The sequence below is a fragment of the Homo sapiens genome, chromosome 11, assembly GCF_000001405.40.
Source record: "Homo sapiens chromosome 11, GRCh38.p14 Primary Assembly".
NCBI classification, from domain to species: domain Eukaryota; kingdom Metazoa; phylum Chordata; class Mammalia; order Primates; family Hominidae; genus Homo; species Homo sapiens.
Window position 1 is genome coordinate 50726942 of NC_000011.10, and position 14389 is coordinate 50741330.

The 14389-nt window shown below is 36.1% G+C and overlaps 2 annotated features.

Moving 5' to 3' along the window:
• Positions 655 to 1395: an enhancer, noted in NCBI's record as "OCT4-NANOG hESC enhancer chr11:50686767-50687507 (GRCh37/hg19 assembly coordinates)". NCBI's record gives its function as "activates a minimal SCP1, AML or CMV promoter by ChIP-STARR-seq in naive H9 embryonic stem cells {active_cell/tissue: H9 hESC(naive)}" and the evidence as "EXISTENCE:reporter gene assay evidence [ECO:0000049][PMID:30033119]".
• Positions 1642 to 2198: an enhancer, noted in NCBI's record as "OCT4-NANOG hESC enhancer chr11:50687754-50688310 (GRCh37/hg19 assembly coordinates)". NCBI's record gives its function as "activates a minimal SCP1, AML or CMV promoter by ChIP-STARR-seq in naive H9 embryonic stem cells {active_cell/tissue: H9 hESC(naive)}" and the evidence as "EXISTENCE:reporter gene assay evidence [ECO:0000049][PMID:30033119]".

Here is a 14389-nt window from a genome sequence, read left to right on the forward strand (position 1 = left end):
AAACGGCTCAGTCAAAAGAAACTTTCAACTCGGTGAGATCAATGTGCACATAAAAAATAAGTTTCTCAGAATGCTTATGTCTAGTTTTTATGTGAAGATATTTCCTTGTCCACCATAGGCATCAAAGTGCTCCAAATATTCACTTGCAGATTCTACAAAAAGAGTGTTTACAAACTGCACAATCAAAAGAAAGGTTCAATTCTGAGAGTTGAATGCACACATCAAAAAAGTTTCTGAGCATGCTTCCATCTAGTTTTTATGTGAAGATATTTCCTTTTACAACATAGGCCTCTAAGACCTCCAAATATACACCTGCAGATGCTACAAAAAGAGTGTTTCCAAACTGCTCAATCAAAAGAAAGGTTCAACTCTGTCAGTTGAATGCACACATCACAAAGATGTTTCTGATAATGCTTCTGTCTAGTTTATATGTGAAGATATTTCCTTTTCCACAATAGGCCTCAAAGTGCTCCAAAAAACCACTTACAGATTCTACAAAAACAGTGTTTCAAAACTTCTCAATCAAAAGAATGGTTCAGCACTGTGAGATGAATGCACACTTCACAAAGTATTTTCTCAGAATGCTTCTGTCTAGTTTTTATGGGAAGAAATTTCCTTTTCCTCCATAGGCCTTAAAGCACTCACAATATCCACTTGCAGATTCCACAAAAAGAGTGTATCAGGACTTCTCAATCAAAAGAATGGTTCAACTCTGTGAGATGAATGCACACATCCCAAAGAAGTTTCTCAGAATGCTTCGGTCTAATTTTTATGTGAAGGTACTTCCTTTTCAGCTATAGGACTCAAAGTGCTCCTAATATGCACTTGCGGTTACTACAAAAAGAGTGTCCCCAAACTGCTCAATCAAAACAAAGGCTCAACTCTGAGAGTTAAATGCACACATCACAAAGAAGTTTCTGAGAATGCTTCTGTCTAGTTTCTATGTGAAGATATTTATTTTCCAACATAGGCCTCAAAGCACTCCAAATATCCACTTGCAGATTCTACAAAAGGAGTGTTTCAAAACTGCTCAATCAAAAGAAAGGTTCAACTCTGTGAGTCGAATGCGCACATAAAAAGAAGTTTCTCAGAATGCTTCTGTCTAGTTTTTACTTGAAGATATTTCCTTTTCCACTGTAGGCCTCAAATCGCTCCAAATATCCACTCTCAGATTCTACAGAAAGAGTGTTTCCAAACTGCTCAATCAAAAGAAAGGTTCAAATCTGTCAGTTGAATGCAAACATCACAAAGTATTTTCTGAGAATTCTTCTGTCTAGTTTTTATGTGAAGATATTTCCTTTTCCACCAGAGGCTTCAAAGTGCTCCAAATATCCACCTGCAAATACTACAAAAAGAGGTTTGCAAAACTTCTCAATCAAAAGAAAGTTTCAACTCTGTGAGATGAAGGCACACTTCACAAAGAAGTTTCTGAGAATGCTTCTGTCTAGTTTTTATATGAGGATATTTCCTTTTCAGCCATAGGCCTGAAAGCGCTCAAAATATCCATTTGCAGTTACTACAAAAAGAGTGTTTCCAAACTGCTCAATCAAAAGAAATGCTCAACTCTGAGAGTTGAATGCACACGTCACAAAGAAGTTTCAGAGAATGCTTCTGTCTAGTTTTTATGTGAAGATATTTCCTTTTCCACCAATAGGCATCGAAGCACTCCAAATATCCATTTGCAGGTACTACAAAAAGAGTGTTTCCAAACTACTCAATGAAAAGATAATTTCAATACTTTATGTGAATGCTTCTGTCTAGTTTTCATGAGAAGATATTTCCTTTTCCACCACAGGCCTCCAAATATGCACTTGCAGATTCTACAAATACACTGTTTCAAAACTGCTGAATCAATAGAAACGTTCAACACTGTGAGATGAATGCACACATCACAAAGAAGTTTCTCAGAATGCTTCTGTCTAGTTTTTTTGTGAAGATATTTCCTTTTCCACCATTGGCCTCAAAGCACTCCAAATATCCACTTGCAGATTCAGCAAACTGTATCAAAATTGCTCAATCAAAAGAAAGTTTCAACTCTGTGAGATGAATGCACACATCACAAAGAAGTTTCTAAGAATGATTCTGTCTAGTTTTTATGTGAAGATATTTCCTTTTCAGCTATAGGACTCAAAGCACTCCAAATATCCATTTACAGATACTAGAAAAAGAGTGTTTCCAAACTGCTCACTCAAAAGAAAGGTTCAACTCTGTGAGTTGAAGGCACACATCCAAAGAAGTTTCTGGGAATGATTCTGTCTAGTTTTTATGTGAAGATATTTCCTCTTCCACTGTAGGCCTCAAAGCTCTCCAAATATCTACTGGTAGATTCTACAAAAAGTGTGTTTGAAAATTGCTCAATCAAAAGAAAAATTCAACTCTGTGAGACGAATTCACCAAGACAAAGAAGTTTCTCAGAATGCTTCCATCTACTTTCCATGTGAAGATATTTCCTTTTCTGCTATGGGCCTGAAAGCGCTTCAAATATTCTTTTGCAGATATTACACAAAGAGTGTTTCCAAACTGCTTAATCAAAAGAAAGATTCAACTCTGTGAATTGAAGGCACACATCACAAAACAGTTTCTGAGAATGCTTCTGTCTAGTTTTTATGTGAAGGTATTTCCTCTTCCACCATAGGCCACAAAGCGCTCCAAATACCCACTTGCAGATTCTACAAATAGAATGTTTCAAAACTGTTCAATCAAAAGAAAATTTCAAGTATCTCAGAATGCTTCTGTCTAGTTTTTATGTGAAGATATTTCCTTTTTAGCTATAAGCCTCAAAGCACTTAAAATATCCATTTGCAGTTACTACAAAAAGAGTGTTTCCAAACTGCTCAATCAAAAGAAAAGTTCAACTCTGAGTGATGAATGCACACATCACAAAGAAGTTTCTGAGAATTCTTCTGTCTAGTTTTTATGTGAAGATATTTCCTTTTCCACCATAGGCCTCAAAGCACTCCAAATATCCACTTTCAGATTCTACAAAAAGAGTGTTTCCAAACTGCTCAATAAAAAGAACCTTTTAACCCAATGAGATGAATGTGCACATCCAAAGATATTTTTCAGAAAGCTTCTGTGTAGTTTTTATGTGAAGATATTTCCTTTTCCATCATAATAGGCCTCAAAGTGATCCAAATATCCACTTGCAGATTCTACAAATAGAGTGTTTCAAAATTGCTCAATCAAAAGCAAGGTTCAACTCTGTGAGGTGAATGCACACATCACAAACAAGTTTCTCAGAATGCTTCTGTCTAGTTTTTATGTGAAAATATTTCCTTTTCAACATAGGACTCAAAGCGGTCCAAATATCCATTTGCAGTTACTACAAAAACAGTTTTTCCAAACTGATCAATCAAAAGAAAGATTCAGCTCTGTGAGATGTATGCGCACTTCACAAAGAAGTTCCACAGAATGCTTCTGTCTAGTTTTTATGTGAAGTTATTTGCTTTTCCACCGTAGGCCTCAAAGCGCTCAGAATATCCACTTGCAGATTCTACATAAAGAGTGTTTCCAAACTGCTCAATCAAAAGAAAGGTTCAACTCTGTAAGATGAATGTACACATCCCAAAGAAGTTTCTCAGAATGCTTCTCTCTAGTTCTTACATAAAGATATTTCCTTTTCAGCTATAAGCCTCAAAGCGTTCCAAATATCCATTTGCAGTTACTACAAAAAGAGTGTTTCCAAACTGCTCAATCAAAAGAAAGGTTTAACTACGAGAACTGAATGCACACATCACAAAGGAGTTTCTGAGAATACTTCTGTCTAGTTTCTATGTGAAGATATTTCCTTTTCCACCATAGGACTCAAAGCACTCCTAATGTCCACTTTCAGATTCTACAAAAAGAGTGTTTCAAAACTCCTCAATCAAAAGAATGGTTCAACTCTGTGAGATGAATGCACACATAACAAAGAAGTTTCTCAAAATTCTTCTGTGTAGTTTTTATGTGAAGATGTTTCCTTTTCAGCTTTAGGCCACAAAGAATTCCAAATATCCATTTGCAGTACTCCAAAATAGTTTTTCCAAACTGCTCAATCAAAACAAAAGTTCAACTCTGAGTGTTGAATGCACACGTCACAAAGAAGTTTCTGAGAATGCTTCTGTCTAGTTTTTATGTGAAGATATTTCCTTTTTCACAACAGGCCTCAAAGTGCTCCAAATATCCGCTTGCAGATTTTGCAAAAAAAGTGTTTCAAAACTGCTCAATCAAAAGAAAGGTTTAACTCTGTGAGATGAATGCACATATCACAAAGAAGTTTCTCAGAATGCTTCTATCTAGTTTTTATGTGAAGATATTTCCTTTTCAGCTATAGGCCTCAAAGCACTCCAAATATACAATTGCAGTCACCACAAAAAGAATGTTTCCAAACTGCTGAATCAAAGGAAAGGTTCAACTCTCTGAGTTGAATGCACACATCACAAGGAAGTTTCTGAGAATGGTTCTGTCAAGTTTCTACGTTTAGATATTTCCTTTTCGGCAATAGGCCATAAAGCGTTCCAAATATCCACTGGCAGATCCCACAGAAAGAGTGTTTCAAAACGGCTCAATCAAAAGATAGATTCAACACTGTGAGATGAATGGCACATCCAAAGAAGTTTCTCAGAATGCTTCTGACTAGTTTTCATGTGAAGATATTCCCTTTTCCACCATTGGCCTCAAAGCACTCCAAATATCCACTTGCAGATTATACAAAAAGAGTTTTTCCAAACTGCTAAATCAAAAGAAAGTTTCATCTCTGTAAGTTGAAGACACACATCATAAAGAAGTTTCTGAGAATGCTTCTGTCTAGTTTTTATGTGAAGATATTTGCCTCTTGACCATAGGCCTCAAAGTGCTCCAAATATCCACTTGCAGATCCTACGAAAAGTGTGTTTCAAAGCTGCTCAATCAGAAGAAAGGTTCAACTCTCTGACCTCAATGCACACATCACAAAGAAGTTTCTCAGAATCCTTTTGTCTAGTTGCTATGTGAAGATATTTGCTTTTCCACCATAGGTCTCAAAGCGCTCTGAATATACACTTGCAGAATTTACAAATAGAGTGTTTCAAAACTTCTCAATGAAAATAAATGTTCAAATCTGTGAGGTGAATCCACACAATACAAAGAAGTTTCTGAGAATGCTTCCGTGTAGTTTTTATGTGAGGATGTTTCCTTTTCAGCTACAGGCCTGAAAGAGCTCCATATATCCATTTGCAGTTACTACAAAAAGAGTGTTTCCAAACTGCTCAATCAAAAGAAAGGGTAAGCTCTGAGAGTTGAATGCACACACCACAAAGAAGTTTCTGAGAATGCTTCTGTCTAGTTTTTATGTGAAGATATTGCACTCACAGAGTTTAACGTGTCTTTTGATTGAGCAGTTTTGAAACAGTCTTTTTGTAGAATCTGCAAGTGGATATTTGGAGCGCTTTGAGGCCTATGGTGGAAAAGCAAATATATTCACATAAAAACTAGAAACAAGCATTCTGAGAAACTTCTTTGTGATGTGTACATTCACCTCACAGTGTTGAACCTTTCTTTTGATTGAGCAGTTTGGAAACACCCCTTTTGTAGAATCTGCAAGTGGATTTTTGGAGCGCTTTGTGGCCTATGGTAGAAAAGGAAATATCTTCTCATAAAAACTGGACAGAAGCATTCACAGAAACTTCTTTGGGATGTGTGAATTCCACTCAAAGTGTTGAACCTTTCTTTTGATTCAACAGTTGGAAACACACTTTTTGTAGTATCCGCAAATGGATATTTGGAGCACTTTGAGGCCCATAGCTGAAAAGGAAATATCTTCTCATAAAAACTAGACAGAAGCATTCAGAGAAATTTCTTTGTGATGTGTGCATTCACCTCACAGACTAGAACGTTTCTTTTGATTGAGCAGTGTTGAAACAATCTTTTTGAATCTTCTGCAAGTGGATATTTGGACAGCTTTGAGGTCTATGGTGGAAAAGGAAATATCTTCACCTAAAAACTAGACTGAAGCATTCTCAGAAACTTCTTTGGGATGTGTGTGTTCAACTGACAGTGTTGAACTTTTCTTTTGATTGAGCAGATTGGAAACACTCTTTTTTAGTATCTGCAAATGGATATAAGAGCGCTTTCAGGCCTATAGCTGAGGAGAAAATGTCTTCACATAAAAACTAGAGAGAAGCACTCAGAGAAATTTGTTTGTAATGTGTGCATTCTCTTCACAGTGTTGAACATTTCTTTTCATTGAGCAGCTTGGAAACACTCTTTTTGTAGAATCTGAAGGTGGATATTTGGAGCATTTCGAGGCCTACAGCTGAAAAGGAGATATCTTCACATAAAAACTGGAAAGAAGAATTCTGAGAAACTTCTTTGTGATGTTTGCATTCATCTCACAGAGCTGAAAATTTCTTTTAGTTGAGCTGCTTTGAAACACTCTGTTTTCCAATCTGCAAGTGGATTCAATTCAAAGAATTGAACCTTTCCTTTGATTGACCAGTTTGGAAACACTCTTTTTGTAGTGTCTGCAAATGGATATTTGCAGCGCTTTGAGGCCTCTTGCTGAAAATGAAATATCCTCACGTAAAACTAGACAGAAGCATTCTGAGAAACTTCTTTGTGATGTGTGCATTCATCTCACAGAGTTGAAACTTTCTTTTGATTGAGCAGTTTTGAAACACTCTCTTGGTGGAATCTGCAATAGGATATTTGGAGCTCTATGAAGCCTATGTTGGAAAAGGAAATATCTTCACATAAAAACTAGACAGAAGCATTCTCAGAAAACACTTAGTGATGTGTGCATTCATCTCATGGAGAAGAACCTTTCTTTTGATGGAGCAGTTTGGAATCAGTCTTTTTGTAGTATCTACAAAAGGGTATTTGGAGTGCTTTCAGGCCTGTGGTGGAAAAAGAAATATCTTCACATAAAAACTAAATAAAAGCATTCTGAGAAACTTCTTTTTGATGTGCATATTCCTCTCATAGAGTTGAACCTTTCTTTCGACTGAGCAGTTTTGAATCACTCTTTTTTTTAATCTGAAAGTGGATATTTTGTTTGCTTGGAAGCCTATGGTGGAAAAGTAAATATCTTCACATAAAAACTAGATAGAACATTCTGAGAAACTACTTTGTGATGTGTGCATTCAACTCACAGTGTTGAAACTTTCTTTTGATTGAGCAGTTTGGAAACATTCTTTTTGTTGTATCTGCAAATGGATATTTGGAGTGATTTGAGGCATATAGCTGAAAAGGAAGTATCTTCACATAAAACTAGACAGAAGCATTCTGAGAAACGTCTTAGTGATAGATGCATTTATCTCGTAGAGTTGCACCTTTCTTTTAATTAAGCAGTTTTGAAACTCTCTTTTTGAAGAATCTGCAAGTGGATATTTGGAGCGCTTTAAGGCCTATGGTGGAAAAGGAAATATCTTCACATAGAAACTATACAGAAGAATTCTCAAAAACTTCTTTGGTATGTGTGCATTCAACTCTCATATTTGAAACTTTCTTCTGATTGAACAGTTTGGAAACACTCTTTTGTAGTATCTGCAAATGGATAATTTCAGCGCTTTGAGGCCTACAGCTGAAATGGAATTATCTTCACATAAAAAGTAGACAGAAGCATTCTGAGATACTTCTTTGGGATGTGCGCATTTATCTCACAGAGTTGAAACTTTCTATTGATTGACCAGTTTTGAAACACTCTTGTTGCAGAATCTGCAAGCGGATATTTGGAGCCCTTTGAGGCCACTGGTGGAAAGCGAGATATCTTCACATAAAAAGTAGACAGAATCATTCTCAGAAACTTCTTTGTGATGTGTGCATTCAACATAGAGAGTTGAACTTTTCTTTTGATTGAGCAGTTTGGAAACATTATTTCTGTAGTATCTGCAAATGGATATTTGGAGTTCTTCGAGGCCTATAGCTGAAAAGGAAATATCTTCACAAAAAAACTGGACAGAAGCATTCTGAGAAACTTCTTTGTGATGTGTGCATTCATCTCACAGAGTAGAAACTTTCTTTTGCTGAACAGTTTTGAAACACTCTTTTTGTAGAATCTGCAAGTGGATATTTGGAGTGCTTTGAGGCCTATGTCAGAAAAGGAAATATCTTCACATAAAAACTAGACAGAAGCATTCTCAGAAACTTCTTTGTGATCTGTGCATTCAACTCACAGAGTTGAACCTTTCTTTTGACTGAACAGTTTGGAAACACTCTTTTTGAAGAAGCTATCAGTGGATATTTGCAGCGCTTTGAGGCCTACTGTGGAAAAGGAAATATCTTCACATAAAAACTATACAGAAGCATTCTCAGAAACTTCTTTGAGATGTGTGCATTTAACTCACAGAGTTGAACCTTTCTCTTGATTGAGCAGTTTGGAAACACTCTTTTTGTAGTAACTGCAAGTGGATATTTGGAGCGCTTTGAGGCCTACAGCTGAAAAGGAAATATCTTCACATAAAAACTAGACAGAAGCATTCATAGAAATTTCTTTGTGATGTGTTAGTTCATCTCCCTGAGTTGAACCTTTCTTTTGATTGAGCAGTTTTGAAACATTCTTTTTGTGGAATCTGAGAGTGGATATTTGGAGTGCTTTGAGGCCTATGGTGGAAAAGGAAATATCTTCACATAAAAACTAGACAGAAGCATTCTCAGAAACTACTATGTGATGTGTGCATTCGACTCAGAGAGTTGAACCTTTCTTTTGATAGAGCGGTTTTGAAACACTCTTTTTATAGAATCTGCAAGTGGATATTTGTAAAACTTTGAGGCCTGTGTTGCAAAAGGAATTATCTTCATTTAAAAACTAGACAGAAGCATTGTCAGAGACTTCTTCGTGATGTGTGCATTCAACTCACAGAGTTGAACTTTTCTTTTGATTGAACCATTTGGAAACACTCTTTTTGTAGTATCTGCAAATGGAATTTTGAATGCTTTTAGGCCTATAGTTGAAAAGGAAATATCGTCACATAAAAACTAGACAGAAGCATTCTGAGAAACTACTTTGTAATGTGTGCATTCATCCCTCAGAGTTGAACCTTTCTTTTGATTCAGCAGTTTTTAAACACTCCTTTTGTAGACTCTGCAAATGGATATTTAGAGTGCTTTGAGGCCTGTGGTGGAAAAGGAAATATCTTCACATAAAAACTAGATAGAAGCATTCTCAGAAAATTCTCTGTGATGTGTGCTTTCCTTTCACAGAGTTGAATCTTTCTTTTGATTGAGCCATTTGGAAACTCTCTTTTTGTACTATCTGCAAATGGATATTTTGTTCACTTTGAGGCGTATAGTTGAAAAGAAAATATCTTCACATAAAAACGACACAGAAGCATTCTCAGACACTTGTTTGTTTTGTGTGCATTCATCTCACCGAGTTGAGCCTGTCATTGATTGAGCAGTTTTGAAACACTGTTTTTGTAGAAGCTGCAAGTGGATATTTGGAGTGCTTTGAGGCCTATGGTGGGAAAGGAAATATCTTCAAATAAAAACTAGACAGAAGCATTCTGAGGAACTTCTTTGTGATATGTGCATTCAATTCACAGAGTTGAACTTTTCTTTTGATTGAGCACTTTGGAAACACTCTTTTTGTAGCATCTGCAAACAGATATTTGGAGCGCTTTGAGGCCTATAGTTGAAAGGGAAATATCTTCACATAAAAACTAGACAGAAGCATTCGGAGAAACTTCTTTGTGATGTGTGCATTCATCTCACAGAGTTGAAACTTTCTTTTCTTTGAGTAGTTTTGAAACTCTCTTTTTGTGGAATCTGCAACTGGATGATTGGAGTGCTTTGAGGCCTATGTTGGAAAAGGAAATATCATCACATAAAAACTAGTCAGAATCATTCTCAGAAAATTATTTGTAATGTGTGCATTCAACTCACAGAACTGAGCTATTCTTTCAACTAAGTTGTTTGGAAACACTCTTTTAGTAGTATCTGCAAATGGATATTAGAAGCGCTTTGAGGCCTATAGTTGAAAAGGAAATATCTTCATATAAACACTAGACAGAAGTATTCTGAGAAACTTCCTCGTGATGTCTGCATTCATCTCACAGAGTTGAACCCTTCTTTTGATTGAGCAGTTTTGAAACACTATTTTTTTAGAATCCGCATATGGATATTTGGAGCGCTTTGAGTCCTATGGTGGAAAAGGAAATATCTTTACATAAAAATTAGACAGAATCATTCTCAGAAATTAATTTGTGATGTGTGCATTCAACACACAGAGTTGAACCTTCCCTTGGATTGAGTAGTTTGAAAACACTGTTTTAATAGAATCTGCAAGTGGATATTAGGAGTGCTTTGAGGCCTATAGTTGAAAAGGAAATATCTTCACATAAACACCAGACAGAAGCAGTCTAAGATACTTCTTTGTGTTGTGTGCATTCATCTCACAGATTTGAACCTTTCTTTTGATTGAGCAGATTTGAAACACTGTTTTTGTAGAATCCGCAAGTGGTTATTTGGAGAGGTTTGAAGACTATGGTGGAAAAGGAACTACCTTCACATAAAAACTAGACAGAAGCATTCTCAGAAAACTTCTTTGTGATGTGTGAATTCAACTCACAGAGTTGAACCTTTCTTTTAATTGAGCAATTTGGATACACTCTTTTTGTAATGTCTGCAAATGGATATGTGGAACGCTTTGAGGCCTATAGTTGAAAAGTAAATGTTTTCACATAATAACTAGACAGAAGCATTCTGAGAAACTTCTTTGTAATGTGTGCATTCATCTCACAGAGTTGAAACGTTCTTTGGTTTTCGCAGCTTTCAAACACTCTTTTTGTGGAATCTGCAAGTGGATAATTGCAGTGGTTTGAGGCCTATCATGGAAAAGGAAATATCTTCACATAAATGTTAGACAGAAGCATTCTCAGAAAATTCTTTGTGAAGTGTGCATTTATCTCACAGAGTTGAACCTTTCTTTTGTTTGAGCAGTTTTGAAACTCTTTTTTTGTGGAATCTGCAAGTGGATAATTTTAACGCTTTGAGGCCTATGGTGGAAAAGGAATTCTCTTCATATAAAAACTAGACAGAAGCATTCTGAGAAATTCCTTTGTGATGTGTGCATTCGTCTCACAGAGTTGAACACTTGTTTTGATTGAGCAGTTTTGAAACATTCGTTTTGCAGAATCTGCAAGTGGATATTTGGAGCGCTTTGAAGCCTAAGGTGGAACAGGAAACAACTTCACACAAAAATTAGACAGAAGCAGTCTCAAAAAATTCTTTGTGATGCATGCATTCAACTAACAGAGTTGTACCTTTCTTTTGATTGAGCAGTTTGGTAACACTCTTTGTAGTATCTGCAAATGTAAATTTGAAGCGCTTTGAGGCCTTTAGCTGAAAAGGGAATATCTTCACATAAAAACTAGACAGAAACATTGTCAGAAAACTCTTCCCATTGTGTGCATTCAACACACAGATTTGAACCTTTCTTGTGATTGAGCCCTTTGGAGACACTCTTTTTGTAATATCTGCAAATGGATATTTTGATCGCTTTGAGGGTTGAAGTTGAAAAGCAAATATCTTCACATAAAAACTAGACAGAAGAATTCTGAGAAAATTTTTGTGATGTGTGCATTCATCTCACAGAGTTGAACCTTTCTTTTGATTGAGCAGTTTTGAAAAACTCGTTTTGTAGAATCTGCAAGTGGATATTTGGCACGCTTTGTGGCCTATGGTGTAAAAGGAAATATCTTCACATAAAAACCAGACAGATGCATTCTCAAAGGCTTCTTTGTGATTTGGGAATTCAACTCACAGAGTTGAACCTTTCTTTTGATAGAGCAGTTTGGAAACACGTTTTTTGTAGTTTCTGAAAATGGATATTTTCAGCACTTTTAGGCCTACAGTTGAAAAAGAAATATCTTCACATAAAAACTAGAAGGAAGCATTCTGAGAAACTACTTTGTAATGTGTGCAGTCATCCCACAGAGTTGAACCTTTATTTTGATTGAGCAGTTTTTAAACACTCCTTTTGTAGACTCTGCAAGTGGATATTTTGAGCGCTTTGAGGCCTATGGTGGAAAAGGAAATATCATCACATAAAAACTAGACAGAAGCATTCTCAGAAACTTCTTTGTGGCGTGTGCATTCAATTCACAGAGTTGAACCTTTCTTTTGATTGAGCAGTTTGGAAACACTCTTTTTGTAGTAACTGCAAAAGGATATTTGGAGCATTTTGAGGCCTATAGCTGAAAAGGAAATATCTTCATATAAAAACTAGACAGAAGCATTCAGAGAAACTTCATTGTGATGTGTGCATTCATCTCTCAGGGTTGAAACTTTCTTTTGATTGAGCAGTTTTGAAACACTCTTTTTGTGGAATCTGCAAGTGGATATTTGGAGTGCTTTGAGGCCTCTGGTGGAAAAGGAAATATCTTCACATAAAAACTAGACAGAAACATTCTCAGAAACTTCTTTGAGATGTGTGCATTTAACTCACAGAGTTGAACCTTTCTCTTGATTGAGCAGTTTGGAAACACTCTTTTTGTAGTAACTGCAAGTGGATATTTGGAGCGCTTTGAGGCCTACAGCTGAAAAGGAAATATCTTCACATAAAAACTAGACAGAAGCATTCATAGAAATTTCTTTGTGATGTGTTAGTTCATCTCCCTGAGTTGAACCTTTCTTTTGATTGAGCAGTTTTGAAACATTCTTTTTGTGGAATCTGAGAGTGGATATTTGGAGTGCTTTGAGGCCTATGGTGGAAAAGGAAATATCTTCACATAAAAACTAGACAGAAGAATTCTCAGAAACTTCTTTGCGATTTTTGCATTCAACTCACAGAGTTGAACCTTTCATTTGATTGAGCAGTTTGGAAACAGTCTTTTTATAGTATCTGCCAATGGATATTTGGAGTGCTTTCAGGCCTATAGCTGAAAACAAATTATCTTCATAAAAAAACTAGACAGAAGCATTCTTAGAAACATCTTCGTGATGTGTGCATTCATCTCACAGAGCTGAATATTTCTTTTGTTTGAGCAGTTTGGAAAGAGTCTTTTTGTACTAACTGTAAATGGATATTTGAGCGCTTTGAGGCTTATAGCTGAAAAGAAAATATCTTCACATAAAAACTAGACAGAAGCATTCAGAGAAACTTCTTTGTGATGTGTGAATTCACCTCACAGAGTTGAAACTTTCTTTTGATTGAGCAGTTTTGAAACACCCTTTTTGTAGAATCTGCAAGTGGATATTTGCAGTGATTTGAGGCCTATGGTGGAAAAAGAAATATATTCACATAAAACTGGATGGAAGCATTCTCAGAAACTACTTTGTGATGTGGGCATTCAACCCACAGGGTTGAACCTTCCTTTTGATTGAGCAGTTTGGAAACACTCTTTTTGTAGAATCAACAAATGCATATTTGGAGCACTTTTAGGACTATAGCTGAAAAGGAAATATCTTCACATCAAAACTAGACAGAAGCATTCTGATAAACTTCTTTGTGAAGTACCCATTTGTCTCACAGAGTTGAACCTTTCTTTTGATTGAGCAGTTTTGAAACACTCTTTTTGTGGAATCTGCAAGTGGATATTTGGAGTGCTTTGAGACCTATGGTGAAAAAGGTAATATCTTCACCAAAAAACTAGACAGAAGCATTCTCAGAAACTTTTAATGATACATACATTCAACTCACAGAGTTGAACTTTTCTTTTGATTGCGTAGTTTGGAAACACTCTTTTTGTAGTATCTGCAAATGGTTATTTGGAGCACTTTGTGGTCTAGGTCTATAGCTGAAAAGGAAATATCTTCCTATAAAAAATAGACAGAAGCATTCAAAGAAATACTTTGTGATATGAGCATTCATCTCACAGATTTGAACCTTACTTTTGATTGAGCACTTTGAAACACTCTTTTTGTAGAATATGCAAATGGATATTTGGAGTGCTTTGAGGCCTATGGTGGAAAAGGAAATATCTTCACATAAAAACTAGACAGAAGCATTCTCAGTAGCTCCTTCATGATGTGTGCATTCATCTCACAGATTTGAAACTTTCGTTGGATTGAGCATTTTTGAAATACTCTTTTTGAAGGATTTGCAAGTGTATATTTTGAGTGCTTTGAGGCCTGTGGTAGAAAAGGTAATATCTTCACAGAGAAACTAGACTGAACGTTTATCAGAAACTTCTTTGTGCCTTCAACTCACAGAGTTGAAACTTTCTTTTGATTGAGCAGTTTGGAAACACTCTTTTTGTAGTAAGTGCAAATGGATAATTGGAGCACATTGAGGCCTGCTGCTGAAAAGAAAATATCTTCACATAAAAACTAGACAGAAGCATTCAGAGAAACTTCTTTGTGATGTGTTCATTAAACTGACAGAGTTGAACATTTCTTTTGATTGAGCAGTTTTGAAACACTCTTTTTGTGGAATCTGCAAGTGGATATTTGGAGTGCTTTGAGGCCTCTGGTGGAAAAGGAAATATCTTCACAT